Raw genomic sequence first — 21,663 nt, 5'->3', positions numbered from 1 at the left:
CACTTTGGGAGGCCGAGGCGGGCGGATCACGAGGTCAGGAGATCGAGACCATCCTGGCCAACACGGTGAAACCCCATCTCTACTAAAAAAAAAAAACAAAAAATTAGCCAGGCATGGTGGCGGGCGCCTGTAGTCCCAGCTACTCCGGAGGCTGAGGCAGGAGAATCGCTTGAACCTGGGAGGCTGAGGTTGCAGTGAGCCAAGATCGCGCCATTGCACTCCAGCCTCGACAACAAGAGCCAAACTCCGTCTCAAAAAAAAAAAATTAAATAACAGCAAGCAACTGCATGCACGTCTGGGGGCGGTGTCCGGGGTGAGAAAGGCCCCGCCAGCAATCCATCCCACAATCAGCGATGGCTGAGGGGGTCTGGACCTCGCGGGACGGGGCTGCACGCCCCCAAGCAAATGCACAGCGCGGCTAAATTGGATTCGACAGCACCGGAAACGGCGACTCCCACTTGGGGCGCTGCGGACACACGAGTCGAGGCTGCCTTCCAGGAAGCAAACAAAAAAAGGGGGGAAAAGGGGGGGAAAGAAAGAAAGAGAAAAAGGAGGGCGAGTGGCGAGCAGGGGCTTCGGCCGCCACCCACACGCCCCGAAGCGTGCTCGTCCCCCGCGCGGGGCTCTCGGCCGCCGCCCTCGGCCATCGGCTGCTCCCCGGTGGCCCAGGCCTCGGACTCCGCGGCCGGCCCGGCGCGGCCCAGCGCCCTCAGGTGCGTACCCCGCCCCCGCCGCCGACGCCGCCATTAAGGGCGGGTTGCCTTTCGGAACGTCCTCCTCCTGAGGGCCTGGGGAAGGGAGGCCGCCCGGCCGCAGCGGGAGGTGGCCCCCCGGGACACCCCGGCGCCCCGAGGCGAGGCACCCCCGAACCCCGATCCCTGCTGGCAGGACCAGAGGTGTGAGGGTGGGGGCGGGGAAGCCTTGCCGCGGGGGCAATGGTCGTACGCACGGAGCGCACATCCCTCTCCTTCCTGATTGGCCGAGCGGGGATGTGCGTGATGCCACGCTCCGCCCGTCGTACGTGGGGCGCTCGCGCTGCGTGCAGACGCGCTTGATTGGTTAGATAAGGGGGCGGGGGCCGCCGCTGTTACCAGGCAACTGCGCCCCGGATCCGCCCCCTGACGTCACGCGTTGCCTAGAGGCCCAGGTTGTGGGTTTTGTCCGTGGGTATGGTCCTCGCGACGGCCTCCGGGGATCTGTTTGTTGGCGGAAAACCAATCCAGACTCCCAAGGAAAAAGGCCGAGGCCCGGGAATTTCCCGTTGCAATTCTGGTTTCGAGTTCTAGGGGGAAAAAGGCTCGCAAGGCTGTATTCTCCATCCCTCAAGCCCAAGCTTTCTTGTTTCTTAATAACAGCTTCGTTGAGATCCATTGTAAAATTCACGTTTTAAGAGTGAATAATTCAGTGCACAGAGCTGTGCAACCTTTGCCACTAATTGCAGAACGCTTTCAGCACCCGAGGAGAAGAAACTCCAACCCCATTAGGCCGTCATTCCCCGGTCCCCACCCCGTCCCTATCCCCAGCCCCTGGCAATCACTTTTGTCTCCGTGGATTTGCCTATTCTGGACATTTTGTGTGGATAGAATCATCCCAAGAAGTTTTTTGTGTGTCTGGCTTCTTTCCTTCTTTATGGCTGAATAAAAATCCATGATATGAATACACAGCATTTTGATTTTCCATCCATTGATGGCTATTTGGGTAATTTCCACCTTTTGGCTGTTATGAATAATACTGCTATGAACATTGGTGTACACGTTTTTGTGCGGACATTTGTTTTCAATTCTCATAGGTGTATACCAAGGACTGGAATTGATGGGCCAAGCTTTGTGTTTTAAGGAAAAAAAAATCATGTTTTAGTTTCGTGCTGGTAATTTGAAGTAAGCAGATGTCTAGATATAAGCTTGGAAACTGGCCAGTTGGAGATTGCTCACGGCTGCAATTGAAGACTCCAGCAGCCTCTTCTCCTCTTTGCTTCCATTTGGAGAGGAAGGCGTCATAGGCTGTGTGACTTCCGTGGACGCGGGGCTTGGCACCGGCTTGCAGTTGGGATCAATCTTCAGTGGCGGTTTGGAGTGGGTCACGGTTCTTCCTGCTTGCCTTCCAGTTTAGTCCCTGACGTCTGCTCCCCAGGGCCCTGGCTCTTCCCCCACGCCTTCAGCCTGCACAGTCCCTTCTCTCATTCTCAGGCTGCAGAACCTGGAAGTACAGTTGTCCCCCCTTACCCGCTGTTTCAGTTACCTGAGGTCAACCGTGGTCTGAAAATACTACATGGAAAATTCCGGAAATAAACAATTCGTAAGTTTTAAATTGCACGCTGTGATGAAATCTCGCGCTGTGCAGCCTGGGCAGTGAATCGTCCCCTTTGTTCAGCGTCCCCACGCTGTGGACGCTCCACACCCATAGTCACTTAGTAGCTGGCTCGGTTATCAGATCGACCGTCACAGTGTCCCAGTGTATGTGTTCAAGTCACCCTTATTTTCCGTCATAATGGCCCCAAAGCACAAGAGTAGTGATGCTGGGAATTTGGATAGGCCAAAGAGAAGCCGTAAAGTGCTTCCTCTAAGTGAAAAGGTGAAAGTTCTCGACTTAATCAGGAAAGACAAAAAATCCTATGCTGAGGTTGCTAAGATCTACGGGAAGAATGAATCTTCCATCCGTGAAATTGTGAAGAAGGAAAAAGAAATTCGTGCTAGTTTTGCTGTCTCACCTCCAACTGCTAAAGTGACGGCCACAGTGCGTGATAAGTGCTTAGTTAAGATGGAACAGGCACTGCATTTGTGGGTGGAAGAGATGAACAGAAAACGTGTTCCCATTGACAGCAACATGTTGCGCCAGAAAGCTTTGAGCCTATACCAAGACTTCTGCAAGGGATGCTCTGAAACTGACACCAAGCCATTTACTGCGAGTAAGGGATGGTTACACAGATTCAGGCATAGATTCTCACATCATTACAAGAAGAAGAAGAAGGGTAAGTACGTTACAACAAGTTATACTGAGAGAGAGAGAGATCACATTCACATAACATTACAGTACTTGATATTCTATTTTATTATTGTTGTTGTTAATTTCTTACTGTGCCTAATTTATAAATTAAAATTCATCGTAGGTATGTATGTACAGGTTGAACATCTCTAATCCAAAAATCCAAAATTTGAACCGTTCCAAAATCCAAAACTTATTGAATGCCGCTGACCTGATGCAAGTTGAAAATTCCATACCTGTCACCTTTGCCTTTATTTTTTTTTTAAGACAGTCTCGCCCTGTCGCCCAGGCTGGAGTGCAGTGTTGCGATCTCGGCTCACTGTAAGCTCCATCTCCCGGATTCAAGCCATGCTTCTGCCTCAGCCTGCAGAGTAGCTGGGATGACAGGCGTGTACCACCACGCCCGGCTAATTTTTACGTTTTTAGTAGAGACGGGGTTTCACCATGTTGGCCAGGCTGGTCTCGAAATCTTGACGTCAGTTGATTCACCCACCTCAGCCTCCCAAAGTGCTGTGATTACAGGCATGAGTCACCACGCCCGGCAGGCCTTCTTTGTTTTTCTCTTGAGACAGAGTCCTACCCAGGGCCTCGCCCTGTTGAAATGGTGGGATCACAGCTCACTGCAGCCTTGACCTCCTGGGCTCAAGCAATCCTCCCATCTCAGCCTCCTGAGTAGCTGGGACCACAGGCATACACCCCCACACCTGGCTAATTTTTAATTTTTTTGTAGAGGTGAAGTCCCATTATGTTGCCAGGCTGGTCCCACTATGTTGCCCGGACTGGCCAACATGGCGAAACCCTGTCTCTACTAAAAATACAAAAATTAGCCAGACATGGTAGTGCACACCTGTAACCCCCAGCTACTTGGGAGGCTGAGGCAGGAAAATCACTTGAACCTGGGAGGCGGAGGTTGCAGTGAGCCAAGATCGCGTCACTGCACTCCAGCCTGGGCGACAGAGCGAGACTCCATCTCAAAAAAGAAAAAGAACATAATAGATTTAGGGTTTGGCACTATCTGCAGTTCCAGGCATCCGCTGAGGGTCTTGGAATGAGTCTGCTGAAGATAAGGGGGAGAATCCTGGCCCTTCATTTCTCTTGTCCTCCCAGTGGATTCATCTGCGTTCCTACATGCCCTGAGGCCATTTCATGGGTGTCTGGCTCCTTTTACTGTATTGCTTGTGATTCCCCTCCACTCCTTGCCATCAGTATACGTTTTTTTTTGGGGGGAAGGATACAGAGTCTTGCTCTGTCACCTAGGCTGAAGTGCAGTGGCACAATCACGTCCTGCTGCAACCTCCGCCTCCTGAGTTCAAGAGATTCTCCTGCCTCAGCCTCCTGAGTAGTTGGGATTACAGGTGCGTGCCACCATGCCCAGCTAATTTTTTTTTTTTTTTTTGAGATGGAGTTTCGTTCTTGTTGCCCAGGCTGGAGTGCAATGGCATGATCTTGGCTCACTGCAACCTCCGCCTCCCGGGTTCAAGCAATTCTCCCCGCCTCAGCCTCCCGAGTAGCTGGGATTACAGGCACCCACCACCACGCCTGTCCTTTTTTTTTGGATTTTTAGTAGAGACAGGGTTTCACCATGTTGGCCAGGCTGATATGGAACTCCTGACCTCAGGTGATCCACCTGCCTCAGCCTCCCAGAGTGCTGGGATTACAGGTGTGAGCCACCTCGCCTGGCTACTAGTATACATTTTTACATTGCAGGTGCTCATTACATTTTTGTTGAATGGTGAAACATGTACTCTTGTGTTTGTACTTGTAGGCTGAGCTGTGAAGAAGGTAGAATTTATTAATTAAAACCAAGCCCTGCGGCTCAGTGTGGTGGCTCACGCCTATAATCCCAGCACTTTGGGAGGCTGAGGTGGGAGGATTGCTTGAGTCTAGGAGTTCAAGACTGGCCTGGGCAACATGGCAAAACTCTGTCTCTACAAAACAAACAAAAAACAACAACAAAAAATTAGCTGGGTACAGTGGTGTGCGCCTGTGCTCCCAGCTACTTGGGAGGCTAAGGTGGGAGGATCACTTAAGCTTGGGAGTCCCAGGCTGCAGGGAGCTATGATCATGCCACTACACTCCAGTCTGGGTGATAGAGCAAGACCCTATCTCAAAAGAAAAAAAGCAAAACAAAACAGAAAACAAGTCCCAGGTCTGGGCACAGTGTCTCATTCCTATAATTCCAGTATTTTGAGAGACTGAGGCAGGAGAATCGCTTGAGCCTAGGAGTTCAAGATCAGCCTGGGCAACATAGTGAAACTTTGTCTCTACAAAAAAAAAAAAAAAAAAAAAAAGTCAAAATTAGCCAGGCGCATGGTAAGCTGTGATGATACCACTGCACTTCAATCTGGAGGACAGAGCAGACTCTGTCTCAAAACCAAACCAAAACAAAAAAACTAAGCCCTTTAAAACCTGAAAAATTAATCTTTGGAAGGGAAAATCTAGAAACAGTTTTTAAAAATAAACCAGTCCTCTATTTCAAGATTTCAGAGTTTTCATAAAGGAAGTGGATGACATTCCAAATGATGAAAGGTTGTAAGGGATAGATACAGATTCTAGATCAGTGATGGGCAAACTTTGTTTGTAAGGATAGTAAATATTTTTGGCTTTGGGAACATGGGGTCTTTGTCACATGCATGCAAACCTTCCTTTGCAGGAAAGCAGCTGTAGACAAGATGTCAACAAGTGAATGTGACTGTGTTCTGACAAAGCTTAATTTACAAAACTAGGCTGCGGTCTGGATTTGACCTGTAGGCTGGAGATTGTTCTAGGTATTTGCTTTTCGTTAGTAAAATATTACACTAGAAGGACAGAAACGCCTCCAGCATTGCTGGGAAGACAAAATGAGATTTGGAAGTTTTTGGAGTTTACATCTACAGTTTTAAAAGAGCAAAAAGGGCCAGGCACGGTGGCTCATGCCTGTAATCCCAGCACTTTGGGAGGCTGAGCGGGGCGGATCACCTTAGGTCAGGAGTTCGAGACCAGCCTGGCCAACATGGTGAAACCCAGTCTCTACTAAAAATACAAAAATTAGCCAGATGTGGTGGCACGCACCTGTAATTTCAACTACTCGGGAGGCAGAGTTTGCAGTGAGCTGAGATTGCACCACTGCGCTCCAGCCTGAGCCACAGAGCAAGACTCCATCTCAAAATAAAAGAGTAAAAAGTTAAGTACTATGTAAAAATCTGTGATCTCAGTAAATGGTGCTGGCACTTCAGATGTGAGTAAAAAAAGGGTTAATAACTATATCGGCTTTGGGAGATTTTATTCTGTGGTACAAGTTCTTATGGTGAAGGATTTTTGAGCTTTATTAGAGTGCAGTGAAATTTTCTCAGGAAAATGTACTTGGGACAGGAAACACAGTGTTGGCTTATAGTCATGTTTCATTATTTTCAATTTTCTATTAATGCATGCTGTGTTCCAAATCATAAAATATAAAAGACAACATTCCTGCCTCCATTTGTTGTTATGTACAAAATGCAAAGAAAGCACAATAATTATGAGACACTCAGCCCAGCGCGGTGGCTCACACCTGTAATCCCAGCACTTTGGGAGGATGAGGCAGGCAGATCACTTAAGCCCAGGAGTTCGAGACCAGCCTGGGCAACATGGCGAAACCCCCTCTCTACAAAAAATACAAAAATTAGCTGAACATGGTGGCGCATGCCTGGTATTCCAGCTACTCAGGAGGCTGAGGTGGGAAGATCATCCGAGCCCAGGGAGGCAGAGGCTGCAGTGAGCTGTGATTGCACCACTGCATTCCAGCCTGGGTGACGGAGTGAGACCCTGCCTCAAAAAAATGATAATAATTATTATGAAACACTTGTTTTTTAAATGATTACTGGTAGCATAGTTGACGCCAACTGATAGTATCTTTTTTTGAATTCCACGTGGTATCATCCTGCCTATTATTTTATTCTTCGGTTTTTTCAATTTTTTTATTTCTATTTTTGTTTGTGTTTTTATTTTTATTTTCTTTTTTGTAAAAAAGCAGACTTTTGACATCAGAGCTTGTTTAGGGATTATTGTGGTATAATATTCTGGGGATGACAGAACTGTTTTATACCTTAATTTTACCTATGTAACTTTATATATGTCAGAATTCACAGGGGCCAGGCAGGTGACTGACACCTGTAATCCCAACACTTTGGGAGGCCAAGGTGGCAGATCACCTGAGGTCAGGAGTTTGAGACCAGCCTGGGCAACATGGTGAAACCTCCTATTAAAAAAAAAAAAATGCAGAAAATGAGCTGGGCATGATGGCACGTGCCTGTGGTCCCAGCTACTCAGGAGGCTGAGGCACGAGGATTGCTTGAGCCCGGGATGGGGAAGTTGCAGTGAGCTGAGAGTGCACCACTGCACTCCAGCCTGGGTGACAGAGTGAGACCTTGTCTCAAAAAAGAAAAAAAAAAAAATCGGCCAGGCACGGTGGCTAACGCCTGTGATCCCAGCACTTTGGGAGGCTGAGGCGGGTGGATCAGGAGGTCAAGAGATCGAGACCAGCCTGGCCAACATGGCAAAATCCCATCTCTACTAAAAATACAAAAATTAGTTGGGCGTGGTGGCGGGCGCCTGTAGTCCCAACTACTCAGGAGGCTGAGGCAGGATAGTCGCTTGACCAGGGAGGTGGAGATTGTAGTGAGCTGAGATCACGCCATTGCACTCCAGCCTGGGCAACAGAGCGAGACTCCGTCTCAAAATAAATAAATAAATAAATAAATAAATAAATAAATAAATAAAAAAAACATAATCCTCATCTAGTCTAGTTTACATCAGGTAAAAGAATTTTCGGCCAGGCGTGGTAGATCATGCCTGTAAACCCAGCACTTTGGGAGGCTGAGGCAGGTGGATCACCTGAGGTCAGGGGTTCAAGACCAGCCTGACCAATATGGGGAAACCTCGTCTCTACTAAAAGTACAAAAATTCGCTGGGCATGCCAGGAGTGGTGGCTCACGCCTGTAATCCCAGCACTTTGGGTGACCAAGGCGGGTGGATCACAAGGTCAGGATATTAAGACCATCCTGGCTAACACGGTGAAACCCTGTCTCTACTAAAAATACAAAGAATTAGCTGGGCATGGTGGCACGGGCCTGTAGTCCCAGCTACTCAGGAGGCTGAGGCAGCAGAATCGCTTGAACCCGGGAGGCAGAGGTTGCAGTGAGCCAAGATCAAGCCACTGCACTCCAGCCTGGGCAGCAAGAGCAAAACTCTGTCTCAAAAAAAAAAAAAGAAGAATTTTTATTTAAAACTTTTTTTTTTATTTCACAGGAAATGGATTGCATGATTGTTTTGACCATTTTTCTTCATGCTAAATAAAGTATGCAGACTTAAGCATTGAGTTAAGAGATCGGTGTTTTGATTGCCTTTTGGTCGGCGTCAGGGAGAGACCTCTCTGAGTTTGGAGGTTGTTTTAAGGACGTGGGGTGCCATGATTCTAGTAATTTTGTGTGTGCATTTCACACACAACAACCCATACATAAATATCTTATAATTCATCTTCCAGGCACTTGAGAATGAAGGGAGCATTGTTAATAATTTCACTGGCAGGGTGGGTGTGGACTAGGACTGTCCCACCTGGGACATGTGGGTCACCCATCTTATTTTCCCCTCATGGGGCCTTTCTTCTGTTTGCCTTTCTGCTCCTCCACTGCGGTTGCAGCCTCTGCCATTCCTTAAACCATCTGCACACCCACCAGCAGGCTCCCATGCTCTCTGTGTCCTTTCACGGAAAATAATATTTCCCTTGGAGGGTGTGTAGGTTTTAAATTGGGTGATCGTAAAAGCATCGGCGCATAGAGTGTAGTTCAGTACATGTTAATTTTCTTTTTTTCCATCCAACCTCTCTTTGATTTTATTTGATTTTTAAAAATCTCTTTAGCTGGGCGCGGTGGCTCACGCCTGTCACCCACCACTTTGGGAGGCCAAGGAGGCCAGATCACTTGAGGTCAGGAGTTTGAGACTGGCCTGGCCAACGTGATGAAACCCTGTGTCTACTAAAAATACAAAAATTAGCCAGGCATGTTGACCCAAGCCTGTAATCTCAGCTACTTGGGAGGCTGAGGCAGGAGAATTGCTTGAACCCGGGAGGCGGAGGTTGCAGTGAGCTGAGATCGTGCCACTGCATTCCAGCCTGGGCCACAGAGTGAGACTCCGTCTCAAAAACAAATAAATAAATATGATAAAAACTGTTTTATTGAGATACAATTCATATACTTATACAGTTCACCCATTTGAAGTGTACAGTTCAGGCTGTACACGGAGGCTCATGCCTGTAATCCCAACACTCTGGGAGGCTGAGGTGGAAGGATCGTTTGAGCCCAGGAGTTTGAGACCAGCGTGGGCAACATAGTGAGACCTCTTTACAAAAATAGAAAATTAGCTGAGTGTCGTGGCACATGCCTGTCATCTTAGCTACTCTGGAGGCTGAGGCAGGAGCATTGCTTGAGCCCAGGAGGTCAAGGCTACAGTGATTGCACCACTGTACTCCAACTATGATCATGGCACTGCACGTCAGCCTGGGTGACAGAATGAGACCCTGTCAGAAAAAATAAATAAAAATTTAAAAAATAGGGGTGGGCATAGTGCCTCACACCTATAATCCCAGCACTTTGGGAGGCCAAGGAGGGTGGATCACCTGAGGTCAGGAGTTCAAGACCAGCCTGGACAACATGGCAAAACCCCATCTCTACTACAAATACAAAAAATTAGCTGGGCATGGTGGTGCACGCCTGTAATCCTAGCTACTCAGGAGGCTGAGGCAGGAGAATCGCTTGAACCCAGAAGGCAGAGGTTGCAGTGAACTGTGATTGTGCCACTGCACTCCAGCCTGGGAGACAGAGCAAGACCCCATCTCAAAAAAAAAAAAAAAAGAAAATTAAAAAAAATAAAGTGTACTGTTCAGTGGTTTCTTGAAATAGATTCACAGAGTTGTACAACTATCATCACAGTCAATTTTTGTTTTGTTTTGTTTTTTTTGTGAGACGGAGTCTCACTCTGTTGCCCAGGCTGGAGTGCAGTGGTGGGATCTCGGCTCACTGCAACCTCCGCCTCCCGGGTTCAAGAGATTCTCCTGCCTCAGCCTCCCGAGTAGCTGGGACTACAGGCGTGCGCCACCATGCCCGGCTAATTTTTGTATTTTTAGTAGAGACAAAGTTTCACCAAGTTGGCCAGGATGGTCTCGATCTCTTGACCTCGTGATCCGTCCGCCTCGGCCTCCCAAAGTGCTGGGATTACAGGCGTGAGCCACTGTGCCCGGCCATCACAGTCAATTTTTGAACATTTTCATCACTCTGAAACCTTTTACCCTTTAGCTATCAACCTGAAATAACCACTAATCTATTTTCAGTTCCTATAGATTTCCCTATTCTAGAAATTTAATATGAATGGAATTACATAATATGTGACTCCTTTGGATTTTAAGTTGAGGGGATTCATAAAAGGTCAGAAGTGAAACATTCATAGGAAGTAGTTGATTGAGCCAGGTGTAGTGGCTTGCAGCTGTAATCCCAGTGTGGATGAGGGGGAAGGATGGCTTGAGTCCAGGAGTTGGAGGCTGCAGGGAGCCATGATCAAGCCACTGCACTCCAGCCTGGGTGACATTGTGAGACTCTGACTCTTAGAAATAAAAAAGCTGACCAGGCTCAGTGGCTCATGGCTGTAATCACAGGGCTTCGGGAGGCCAAGGCAGGTAGATCACTTGAGGTCGGGAGTTCGAGACCAGCCTGGCCAACATGATGAAACCCCATCTCTACTAAAAACACAAAAAATTAGCCGGCCATGGTGGGAGCTGCCTGTAATCCCAGCTACTTGGGAGGCTGAGGCAGAAGAACTGCTTGAACCCCAGAGGCAGGGATTGCAGTGAGCCAAGATCATGCCATTTCACTCCAGCCTGGGCAACAGAGTGAGACTCCATGTCAAAAAAAAAAACCAATACATATATATATATAAAATAAGGCTGGGCATGGTGGCTCACGCCTGTAGACCCAGCACTCTGGGAGGCTGAGGCGTGTGGATCAACTGAGGTTAGGAGTTCAAGACCGGCCTGGCCAACATGGTGAAACCCCGTCTCTACTGAAAAATAGAAAACTTAGCTGGGCCCGGTGGCGGGTGCCTACAATCCCGGCTACTCGGGAGGCTGAGGCAGGAGAATTGCTTGAACCTGGGAGGTAGAGGTTGCAGTGAGCCGAGATCGCACCACTGCACTCCAGCCTGGGTGACAGAGTAAGACCTTGTCTCAAAAAATACATATAAAAATAAATAAATAAGCAGTTGATTTAGTATCTTCTTCAATAGACAAGATGCCTGAGTACAGCCCGTGGCTCTCCTGGCATGTGGTCCCGTGGGGACCAGTGCATCAGGTGCTTCCTAAGCTGGCGTCACCTGCCTGGCCCGATGCCTCCTCTGGTGTTCATTGTTAATTAATGCCACCTCCTGATGGCAGTTTCTTTCTGGGAAGAGGAGAGAAGAGAGGGAGCCGTCCCCAAGTGAAGGGTGCAGGGAAGGCTCCATGAATAGTTTCAACTAAGGACTGTCCCAGGAAGGAACCTCGGGACAAGCAAAGAACAGTAAACTTCTGATGTGACCCGGATGCACCCATTTCCAGAGAGCAGGAAGCACAGAGAAGGCCCGTGGGTCGCCGTCCCCAGGGTGCCTTCCATCCTGCAAGGCTTGCTGCATGCCCTGAAAGTTATGATAAAGACATAGGACCGGCCGGGTGCGGTGGCTCACGCCTGTAATCCCAGCACTTTGGGAGGCCGAGGTGGGCAGATCACGAGGTCAGGAGATCGAGACCATCCTGGCTAACATGGTGAAACCCCGTCTCTACTAAAAATACAAAAAATTAGCTGGGCATGGTGGCACACGCGTATAGTCCCAGCTACTCGGGAGGCTGAGGCAGGAGAATGGCGTGAACCTGGGAGGCAGAGCTTGCAGTGCGCAGAGATCATGCCACTGGGTGCAGTGCGCAGAGATCATGCACTCCAGTCTGGGCGACAGAGTGAGACTCCGTCTCAAAAAAAAAAAAAAAAAAAAAAAGACATAGGACCTTCATCACCAGGGGTGCCCCTTGGGCTGTTGCTGTGGCATCTCCCTTTTTTTGTTTTTAGACGGAATCTTACTCTGTTGCCCCACCTGGAGGGCAGTGGCACAATCTTGGCTCACTGCAACCTCCGCCTTCTGGGTTCAAGCAATTCTCCTGCCTCAGCCTCCGGAGTAGCTGGGATTACAGGTGTCTGCCACCATGCCCAGCTAATTTTTAGTAGAGAAGGGGGGGGTCTCACCATGTTGGCCAGGCTGGTCTCGAACTCCTGACCTCAAGTGATCCGCTTGCCTCAGCCTCCAAAAGTGTTGGGATTATAGGCGTGAGCCACCACGCCGGCCCCATTTCTTAATACACATTGAGTGTGATGACATCATAGATCAATGGCAATTGCAGGTGTGAAGAAGTGGAAATAGCACTAGGCAAAAATTGTCCTGGTGTATGTTCTAGCTTTGCTTGGACAACTTGCTAAGTTGTAAAATGAGAATACTTCTACGCCCTTTTCTCTCCCGGGGATGCTAAAGACAAAATAAAGATTACGAATGGAAATTCTCTGAGCTTCCAAAAGAATCAGGATGGAGCATGATCTAAGGGAGTGTTCTGGTGAATGGGAACTTAACATGTCTTTGCCGTTACATATTCTTTGATGTGCATTTGCTTGGTGAGTGGAATCTAGAATGCTCAAGAAAAGACTTTCTAGGACCTACGCGTCTCATGGCTGGATGCCGCTTTTGCTACTCTTCATCTTAGCCAAAAAGCAGAGAGGCAATTGAGGCTGCTTTTTCTGACTCCAGCTCTGTTGCCAGAACAGAGTCTTTGCTATGAAAAACAATACCGGCTGGGCGCGGTGGCTCACACCTGTAATCCCAGCACTGGTGTGGGAGGCAGAAGCAGGAAGATCGCTTGAGCCCAGGAGTTGGAGACCAGTCTGGGCAACATAGTGAGACCCCGTCTCTACTAAAAATACAAAAATTAGCCGAGCATGGTGGCGCCTGCCTGTAATCCCAGCTACTTGGGAGGCTGAGGCAGGAGAATCGCTTGAACCCGGGAGGCAGAGGTTGCAGTGAGCAGAGATCACACCACTTCACTCCAGCCTGGGTGACAAGAGTGAAACTCAATAGAAAAATCTTCTGTCTTCCTTCCGCATGCACACTCATGTTGATCTGTGTATCTTTTGCTTACAAATAGAATTAAGCCAAATATTGGAGGGATATGATGGTAGCTGACAGGTACTTAATTTGCATGTTCCATTTCAAAAAGTTGTTTTTAAGATTTCAGAGAATTTTTTTCAAAGAAATTTCTTAAAGCTAACTTCATTTAGAGCTTGGCAAAATGTATCAGCCAGGCACAGTAGCTCATGCCTGTCATCCCGGCACTTAAGGAGGCCGACACAGGAGGATGGCTTAAGCCCAGGAATTTGAGATCAGCCTTGGCGATAGAGCAAGACCCCATCTTTACAAAAAAATGTTTAAAAATTAGCTGAGCCTGGTAATACATGCCTGCAGTCCCATATGCAAAACATAGCTGGGGCTACACGGGAGGGTGAGGCAGGAAGATCACTTGAGCCTGAGAGTTGGAGGATGCAGTGAGCCATGATTGTGCCACTGCACTCCAGACTGGGTGACAGAGTGAGATCCTGTCTCTAAAAACAAAACAAACAAAAAGCTAAAAAAAAAAAAAAAAATCTTGGCAAAATTTAGAGTGAGCTTTTAGGAGACAGAAGTCCGAAGGGAAGTGGGAAAGAAGGAATTTTCTCTTCCTATCTTTAGCACACAAACCCATTATACCCTTTCTATGTGTAAGTGAAATAGTGTGGTAGCTGTCACAACCATGCTGAAATCTGACTAAACATCATTGGATCAATAAGGTACAAATCCTCCTCTCCTCATCTGGGAAACAGCATGCTCCTCTCACATAATACCTGAGTTTGTTTTACGGGGAGGCCATGTGTAGGTTTAGTGGAAAATATATTCTATAAAGTTAGCATAAAAATAAATGTAAAAGGCTGGGTGCGGGCCGGGCGCGGTGGCTCACACCTGTAATCCCAGCACTTTGGGAGGCTGAGGTGGGCGGATCACGCGGTCAGGAGATCGAGACCATCCTGGCTAACATGGTGAAACCCCGTCTCTATTAAAAATACAAAAAATTAGCCAGGCGTGGTGGCAGGCGCCTGTAGTCCCAGCTACTCGGGAGGCTGAGGCAGGAGAATGGCGTGAACCTGGGAGGTGGAGCTTGCCGTGAGCGGAGATCGTGCCACTGCACTCCAGCCTGGGCGACAGAATGAGACTCTGTCTTAAAAAAAAAAAAGACTGGGTGCAGTGGCTCACGCCTGTAATCACAGCATTTTGGGAGGCCTAGGCAAGTGGATCACTTGAGGTCAGCAATTCGAGACTGGCCTGGTCCAACATGGTGAAACCCCATCTCTACTAAAAATACAAAAAGTAACCAGGCGTGGTGGTGGGAGCCTATAATCCCAGCTACTTGGGAGGCTGAGGCAGGAGAATCGCTTGAACCTGGGAGGCAGAGGTTGCAGTGAGCCAAGATCGCACCATTGCACTCCAGCCTGGGCGACAGAGCAAGACTCTGTTCCAGAAAAAAAGGCTGGGCATGGTGGCTCATGCCTATAATCCCAGCACTTTGGGAAGCCGAGGCAGGTGGATCACGTGAGACCAGGAGTTCAAGACCAGTATGGGCAACATGGCAAAACCCTGTTTCTACAAAATAAATAAATAAATAAATAAATCCAGGTTTGCTGGAGTGTGCTTGTAGTCCCAGCTGCTTCGGACCCTACAGTGAGTTGAGATTGCCCCACTGCACTCCAGCCTGAGTGACAGAGCAAGACCCTGTGTCTAAATAAATAAATAGTTTTTAAAAAAGAAAGTTGACTGGGCACGGTGGCTTACGCCTGTAATCCCAGCACTTTGGGAGGCCAAGGCGGACGGATCGCCTCAGGTCAGGAGTTCGAGACCAGCCTGGCCAACATGGCAAAACCTCATCTCCACTAAAAATACAAAAATTTGCTGGGTGTGGTGGCAGACACCTGTAATCCCAGCTACTCGGGAGACTGAGGCAGGAGAATCACTTGAACCCAGGAGGTGGTGGTTGCAGTGAGCTGAGATCGTGCCATTGCACCAGCCTGGGTAACAAGAGTGAAACTCAGTCTCAAAAAAAAAAGAAAGAAAGAAAGAGAGTTAGCAGGGTTGGGTGTGGTGGCTCACACCTATAATCCCAGCACTCTGGGAGGCCAAGGAAGGCAGATTGCTTGAGCTCAGGAGTTTGAGACCAGCCTAGGTAACATGGCAAAACCCCGTCTTTACAAAAAATACAAAAATCAGCCAGGCGTGATGGCGCTCACCTGTAGTCCCAGCTGCTGGGGAGGCTGAGATGGGAGGACTGATTGAATCCAGGGGGCAGAGGTTACAGTAAGCTGTGATTGCGCCACTGCACTCCAGCCTGGGTGACAGAGCAAGATCCTGTCTCAAAATAAAACAAAATAAAATAAAATAAGTTAGCATTACTATTCAGGAGCTCATGGGCAAGTCACTAAATGCCTTTAAATTTCAGTTTCTTCATCTCAAGAGGAAAGTTTGAACTAGATCTTTGGTGAGCACCCTCACATCTCTAAATGTGGGTTTCAGACTCTGAATTTTTGCCACTTTCTTATTGCTTCTCTTGCACAGGGATCATGGCCCAGGTAGCAGTGTCCACCCTGCCTGTTGAAGAAGAGTCCTCCTCAGAGACCAGGATGGTGGTGACATTCCTCGTGTCTGCCCTCGAATCCATGGTGAGACAGCCTGACACTTGTCTGACATTCCATAGATGGATCATTGTCGAAATGACAGAATCATGAAACACTTCAGTATCCCTTTTGTTTTTTTTCTTTTCTTTTTTTTAAGACAGAGTCTCACTCTGTCACCCAGGCTGGAGTGCAGTGGCACAATCTCAGCTCACGGCAACCTCTGCCTCCTGGGTTCAAGCAATTCTCCTGCGTTCAAGCAATTCTCCTGCCTCAGCCTCCTGGGTAGCTGGGATTATAGGCACCAGCCACCACATCCAGCTAATTTTTGTTTTTTTTTTTTGAGACAGAGTCTTGCTCTGCTGCCCAGGCTGGAGTGCAGTGGCATGATGTCGGCTCACTGCAACCTCCGCCTCCCGGGTTCAAGCAATTCTCCTGCCTCAGCCTCCCAAGTAGCTGGGATTACAGGCGCCGGCCACTACGCCCGGCTTATTTTTTGTATTTTTAATAGAGACGGGGTTTCACCACGTTGGCCAGGCTGGTCTCGAACTCCTTACTCTCAGGTGATCTGCCCACCTCGGCCTCCCAAAGTGGTGGGATTACAGGCGTGAGCCACCGTGTCTGGCTGCTTCAGTATCACTTTTGATGTTTGCCTGCTGCCTGACATCTATATAAGGGTATCCTTTATAGAGGGTAATGGGCTTGTCAGATTATTTATGTATTTGTATATTACATTATGGATGCAATTATATAAACTTAAGCTTCCCAGATCTGAAATGTAATGAATGGTAACCTTTGTTACCATGTTTGAGAATATTTTAAAAATCTAATTTCAAAAGTAAATAGGCCAGGTGCAGTGGCTCACGCCTGTAATCCCAGCACTTTGGGAGGCCAAGGTGTGTGGATGACTTGAGGTCAGGAGTTGGAGACCAGCCTGGCCAACATGGTGAAACCCCATTTCTACTAAAAATAGAAACATTAGCTGGACGTGGTGGCGGGCATCTGTATTCCCAGCTACTCAGGAGGCTGAGACACGAGAATCACTTGAACCCGGGAGGCGGAGGTTGTAGTGAGCTGAGATTGTGCCATTGCACTCCAGCCTGTGCAACAGAGCGAGACTCTGTCTCAAGAAAAAAAAAGTAAACAGCCTATTTATATATATCTATTTACATCCAAAAGATAAACTTTACCTGGTGGGTGAAAATTTGATGAGAAATTTACATAACTCCAAAGTACCTGATCAGAAGATATTTATTGATTAAAAATGGAAAATCAGTAACTTTACAGTGCAGAAACCTGACAGACACCACCTCATTCAAGTGATCAAAATTAGCATAGTCAGACTGTAATCCCAGCGGTTTGGGAGTCGAGGTGGGAGGATGGCTTGAGGCCAGGAGTTGGAGACCAGCCTGGGCAGCATAGTGAGACCTTGTCTCTACAAGACTATTTTTAAAAAATTAGCTGGAGGGGATGGTGCTATAGTTCCAGCTAGTTGGGGTGCTGAGATGGAAAGATTGCTTGAGCCCAGGAGTTCAAGTCTGCAGTAAGCTATCATGAGCTATCATGACACTGCACTCCAGCCTGCACAGCACAAGACCCTGACTCTTAAAAAAAAAAAAAAATAAGTTGGAATTAATTTTAGAAGAAAGCATTAGGGGTAGGCAGGGTGGCTCACGCCCGTAATCCCACCACTTCATGAGGCCAAGGCCAGAGGATCACTTGAGCTCAGGAGTTTTGAGACCAGCCTGGGTAACATAGCAAGACCTTCTGTCTACTAAAAACAATTTTTAGGCCGGGCGCGGTGGCTCACACCTGTAATCCCAGCACTTTGGGAGTTTGGGAGGCCGAGGCAGGCAGATCACAAGGTCAGGAGTTCGAGACCAGCCTGGCTAACATGGTGAAACCTCGTCTCTATTAAAGATACAAAAAATTAGCCAGGAGTGGTGACACATGCCTGTAATCCCAGCTACTTGGGAGGCTGAAGCAGGAGAATCGCTTGAACCTGGGAGGCAGAGGTTGCACTGAGTCGAGGTCACGCCATTGCACTCCAGCCTGGGCAACAGGGCAAGACTCCGTCTCAAAAAAAAAAAAAAAGGAAAAATAAAAAATTTTAAAAATTAGCCAGGCGTGGTGACACATGCCTATAGTCCCAGCTACTAGAGAAGCTGAGGCAAGAGGATTGCTCCAGCCTAGGAGATCAAGGCTGCAGTGAGCTAGGATTGCACCACTGTACTTCAGCCTGGGTAACAGAACAAGACCCTCTCTCAAATAATAATAATAATAAAGCATTAGGATCTGTTTGAAGAAAACTCGAAATATCTTCCCCAGGGACATTGTTTAAGAACTGATCACATTCCTTTCATTTGACAAATATCCATGAAGCACTTCCTAAGCCAAGGCCCTCTTCTAGGAACTGGAGTCACAAGACCTGAGAAGGTCCGCCTTACAGAGATCTTATATCCTACTCGGGAGATAAACAATAAACAAATTCGGCTGGGCATGGGGACTCAACGCCTGTAATCCCAGCACTTTGGGAGGCCGAGGAGGGTGGATCACCTGAGGTCAGGAGTTGAAACCAGCCTGGTCAACTTGGTGAAACCCCGTCTTTACTAAAAATACAAATATATTAGCTGGGTGTGGTGGCAGGCACCTTTAATCCCAGCTAACATGGGAGGCTGAGGCGGAGGTTGTAATGAGGCGAAATCGCACCACTGCCCTCCAGTCTGGGTGACAGAGCAAGACTCCATCTCAAAAAAAAAGGTATATATGAAGAGGTAACCAGAAAGTCTGCAGCCAAAAATGTAGGGAAAAGGCATATTGGAAGATCCATGTCAGGCAGTCAATAAAAATATGTTCTTTGGGTTTTATGATGTTTATGGTGTTTGCTTGATAAATTTCTTTTGATTTCCTTTCTCAGTGATTTTTCTCATTCTAAATAAATATTCCTGGCCGGGCGCAGTGGCTCACACCTGTAATCCCAGCACTTTGGGAGGCCAAGGTGGGCGGATCACAAGGTCAGGAGATCGAGACCATCCTGGCTAACACGGTGAAACCCCGTCTCTACTAAAAATACACACACACACACACACACACACACACACACACAAATTAGCCAGGCGTGGTTGCAGGCGCCTGTAGTCCCAGCTACTCAGGAGGCTGAGGCCGGAGAATGACATGAACCCGGGAGGCGGAGCTTGCAGTGAGCCGAGATTGCGCCACTGCACTCCAGCCTGGGTGACAGAGCGAGACTCCGTCTCAAAAATAAATAAATAAATAAATATTCCTTTTGCTACCTAATTTTGTATTCTTAAATCAGGCCTCCCAGGCCCCACAAACTTGGATCTGCCCTTGTAGATAATACATCGCTTTTTGTTTCTGTTTCAGTGTAAAGAACTGGCCAAGTCCAAGGCAGAAGTGGCCTGCATCGCAGTGTACGAAACAGACGTGTTTGTCGTCGGAACCGAGAGAGGATGCGCTTTTGTTAATGCCAGGACGGATTTTCAGAAAGATTTTGCAAAATACTGTAGGTGTTTTAATTTTATCCTTTGTATTCCCAATCTCAAAAGGATCGCAGGCAAGACTTCCACAGTATTTTCTTCTAAGCTATCATAAGCATTCTCCTAGAAACGATCCTAACACATCTTCTTGGATTCAGCTTACCAAATAAACACTGCTTAACACTGCAGAGTCCAAGACAAATGGTCATTTTATTTTATACTAGGTCCTCAGCGGTACTCTGGTTTATTAGAATAAATTTCAAGGACATAGAACAAATTATCTTTAATTCCTAAAATAAACACCATTTTACAAAATACTCTTTAGTCCTTTCCAAAGGAAGGGGGAAAAACTTTTTCAGAGCTTGTTGTGTATTACTGCCTATTAATAGCCATTATACAATTACTCCTTTTTTCTTTTTTTCTTTATTTTTTTGAGACAGAGTCTCACTGTGTCACCCAGGCTGGAGTGCAGTGGTGCGATCTTGGCTCACCGCAACCTCCGCCTCCCAGGTTTAAGCGATTCTCCTGCCTCAGCCTCCCGAGTAGCTGGGATTACAGGCACCTTCCACCATGCCCAGCTAATTTTTATATTTTTGGTAGAGAAAGGGTTTCACCCTGTTGGCCAGGCTGGTCTCAAACTCCTGACCACAAGTGATCTGCCCACCTCTGCCTCCCAAAGTACTGGAATTACAGGTGTGAGCCACTGCACCTGGCCGTTTTTTCCTTTTCTTAGTATGGCAATTTCAGAGCCTTCAATATGCCACGGTGTGCTGCAAGCATCCAGTGTGAGTGAGTATATGTGGCCATATGTCAAGGAACTACTCTACAGTGTTAAAAACTACACCTTCTGCCGGGCTCGGTGGCTCACTCCTGTAATCCCAAAATTTTGGGAGGCCAAGGCAGATGGATCACTTGAGCTCAGGAGTTTGAGGCCAAGCTGGGCAACATGGCAAGACTCCATCTCTACTAAAAAATACAAAAAAAAATTAGATGGGCGTGGTGGCACTCGCCTGTTGTCTTAGCTACTCAGGAGGCTCAGGTGAGAGGATCTCTTGAGCCCGGGAGGTCAAGGCTGCAGTGAGCCGTGATCACACCACTGCACTCCAGTCTGGACCATAGAGCGAGACCCGGTCTCAAGACAAAACAAAACCAGACAAAAAACTACACCTTTTATGGTGGTAATCTCTAACACTGTAGGTTATTTACCAAGTATTGATACAGCAATTTAATATTCCTTGTAACCATGAAAGGATAAAAATCAGAAAGGTTCGTCAGAGGGTATAAGGGTGTGTGTGTGTGTGTGTGTGTGTGTGTGTGTGTGTGTGTATGTACAGAGAGAGGGGTCTCTATGGATTGGCAGAGGGTATATAAAGTGTGTGTGTGTGTGTGTGTCTGTGTGTGTATAAGTAGATTAGATAGATAGGTAGATAGATAAATAAGAGAGAGGAATTATATACATATGTATATAGACAGATTAGATAAATGGATAGATGATAGATAAGAGAGAGGAATTATATATATATATGTATGTAGATAGCTTAGATGGATGGATAGATAAGGGAGACAGGAATTATATATATATATGTATATAGATAGATTAGATGAATGGATAGAGAGAGAGAGAGAGAGATGAGAGAGGGGAGAATTGAGTGATAGATTGATTCAAATTTACTTCCGAGATCCCAAATTAAGGTCTCCACTATCAAAAAGACAGATTAAAAAATGAAGCCATCTTTAAATAATACAGTATGTAATTGATACACAAGAAGGGTATTCTCAATTCATTAATGTCAGATGCCAGTTGAATTTCTAATCACTGAAATTTACTTGTAGATTTTTTTAAGATTCATAGTTGCATGTTAATTTTGTTGTCGCAAATATTTTCTCTAGTATTCATCTTGTAATGAAACTGTTCTGAAATTGGTGTGATAATCTTTTTATATTTTCTTTTCTTTTAATAATGTCAACTTTTAGTTTAGATTCGGGGGGCACACGTGTAGATTTGTTACATGGGTATATCGTGTGATGCTGTGGTTTGGGGTACAGTAGTGAGCATAGTACCCCGTAGTTCATTTTGCAACCCTTGCCCCCACTTCCCTCTTTCCTCTAGGAGCCACCAGTGTCTATTGTTCCCATCCCCATCTTTATGTCCATGTGTACCCAAGGTTTGGCTCCCACTTACAAGTGAGAACATGTGGTATTTGGTTTTCTGTCCCTGCATTAATTTACATAGGATAATGGCCTCCAGCTGCCTCCACATTGCTGCAAAGGATATGATTTCTTTCTTTTTTATGGCCGCAGGTTTTTCGTTTTTGTTTTTGTTTTTTGAGACAGAGTTTTGCCCTTTCGGACAGGCTGGAGTGCAATGGCATGATCTTGGCTCACTGAAACCTCCACCTTCTGAGTTCAAGCCA

At 47.1% G+C, this 21,663-nt stretch overlaps 1 protein-coding gene across 18 annotated transcripts in view, besides 4 other annotated features; it reads left to right on the top strand.

The window, feature by feature from the left end:
• Nucleotides 1-19,427: part of a non allelic homologous recombination region, noted in NCBI's record as "sub-region SSN11-SSN13, recombines with sub-region SSN11'-SSN13' within the WBS telomeric block B recombination region", that runs on past the window's edge. NCBI's record gives the evidence for it as "EXISTENCE:restriction fragment detection evidence [ECO:0001124][PMID:12796854]".
• Nucleotides 1-21,663: part of a biological region, named in NCBI's record as "Williams-Beuren syndrome medial block B recombination region", that runs on past both edges of the window. NCBI's record gives its function as "recombination_partner: LOC106029311 | LOC106029313".
• GTF2IRD2 (GTF2I repeat domain containing 2) overlaps nt 475-21,663 on the top strand; it is a 55,455-nt gene continuing 34,266 nt past the window's right edge. For 15 of the 18 annotated variants that reach the window (NR_170884.1, NR_170883.1, NR_170886.1 and 12 more), the window contains exons 1-3: nt 475-713; nt 15,697-15,800; nt 19,137-19,275. Coding sequence is in view for 12 of the 18 variants with exons in the window: in NM_001388083.1 (NP_001375012.1) it covers nt 15,702-15,800; nt 19,137-19,275 (238 nt within the window). In the remaining 6 variants the exon portion in view is untranslated. Of the gene's footprint in view, nt 714-1,789; nt 2,969-15,696; nt 15,801-19,136; nt 19,523-21,663 lie in introns of those variants that run through there. The other 3 variants (NR_170885.1, NM_001368300.2, NM_001281447.3) reach the window with 2 other exon arrangements.
• Nucleotides 18,402-19,555: a meiotic recombination region, noted in NCBI's record as "meiotic double-strand break mapped by DNA meiotic recombinase 1 chromatin immunoprecipitation followed by single-stranded DNA enrichment and sequencing in the germ cells of some male individuals with PRDM9 A/A and PRDM9 A/C genotypes". NCBI's record gives the evidence for it as "EXISTENCE:chromatin immunoprecipitation-seq evidence [ECO:0000229][PMID:25395542]".
• Nucleotides 19,281-21,663: part of a non allelic homologous recombination region, noted in NCBI's record as "sub-region SSN9'-SSN11', recombines with sub-region SSN9-SSN11 within the WBS centromeric block B recombination region", that runs on past the window's edge. NCBI's record gives the evidence for it as "EXISTENCE:restriction fragment detection evidence [ECO:0001124][PMID:12796854]".

Source organism: Homo sapiens, chromosome 7 (assembly GCF_000001405.40).
Source record: "Homo sapiens chromosome 7, GRCh38.p14 Primary Assembly".
Classification (NCBI taxonomy): Eukaryota; Metazoa; Chordata; class Mammalia; order Primates; family Hominidae; genus Homo; species Homo sapiens.
The sequence above is the reverse complement of the archived record's forward strand: the minus strand, read 5'-3'. Positions and strand labels throughout refer to the sequence as shown.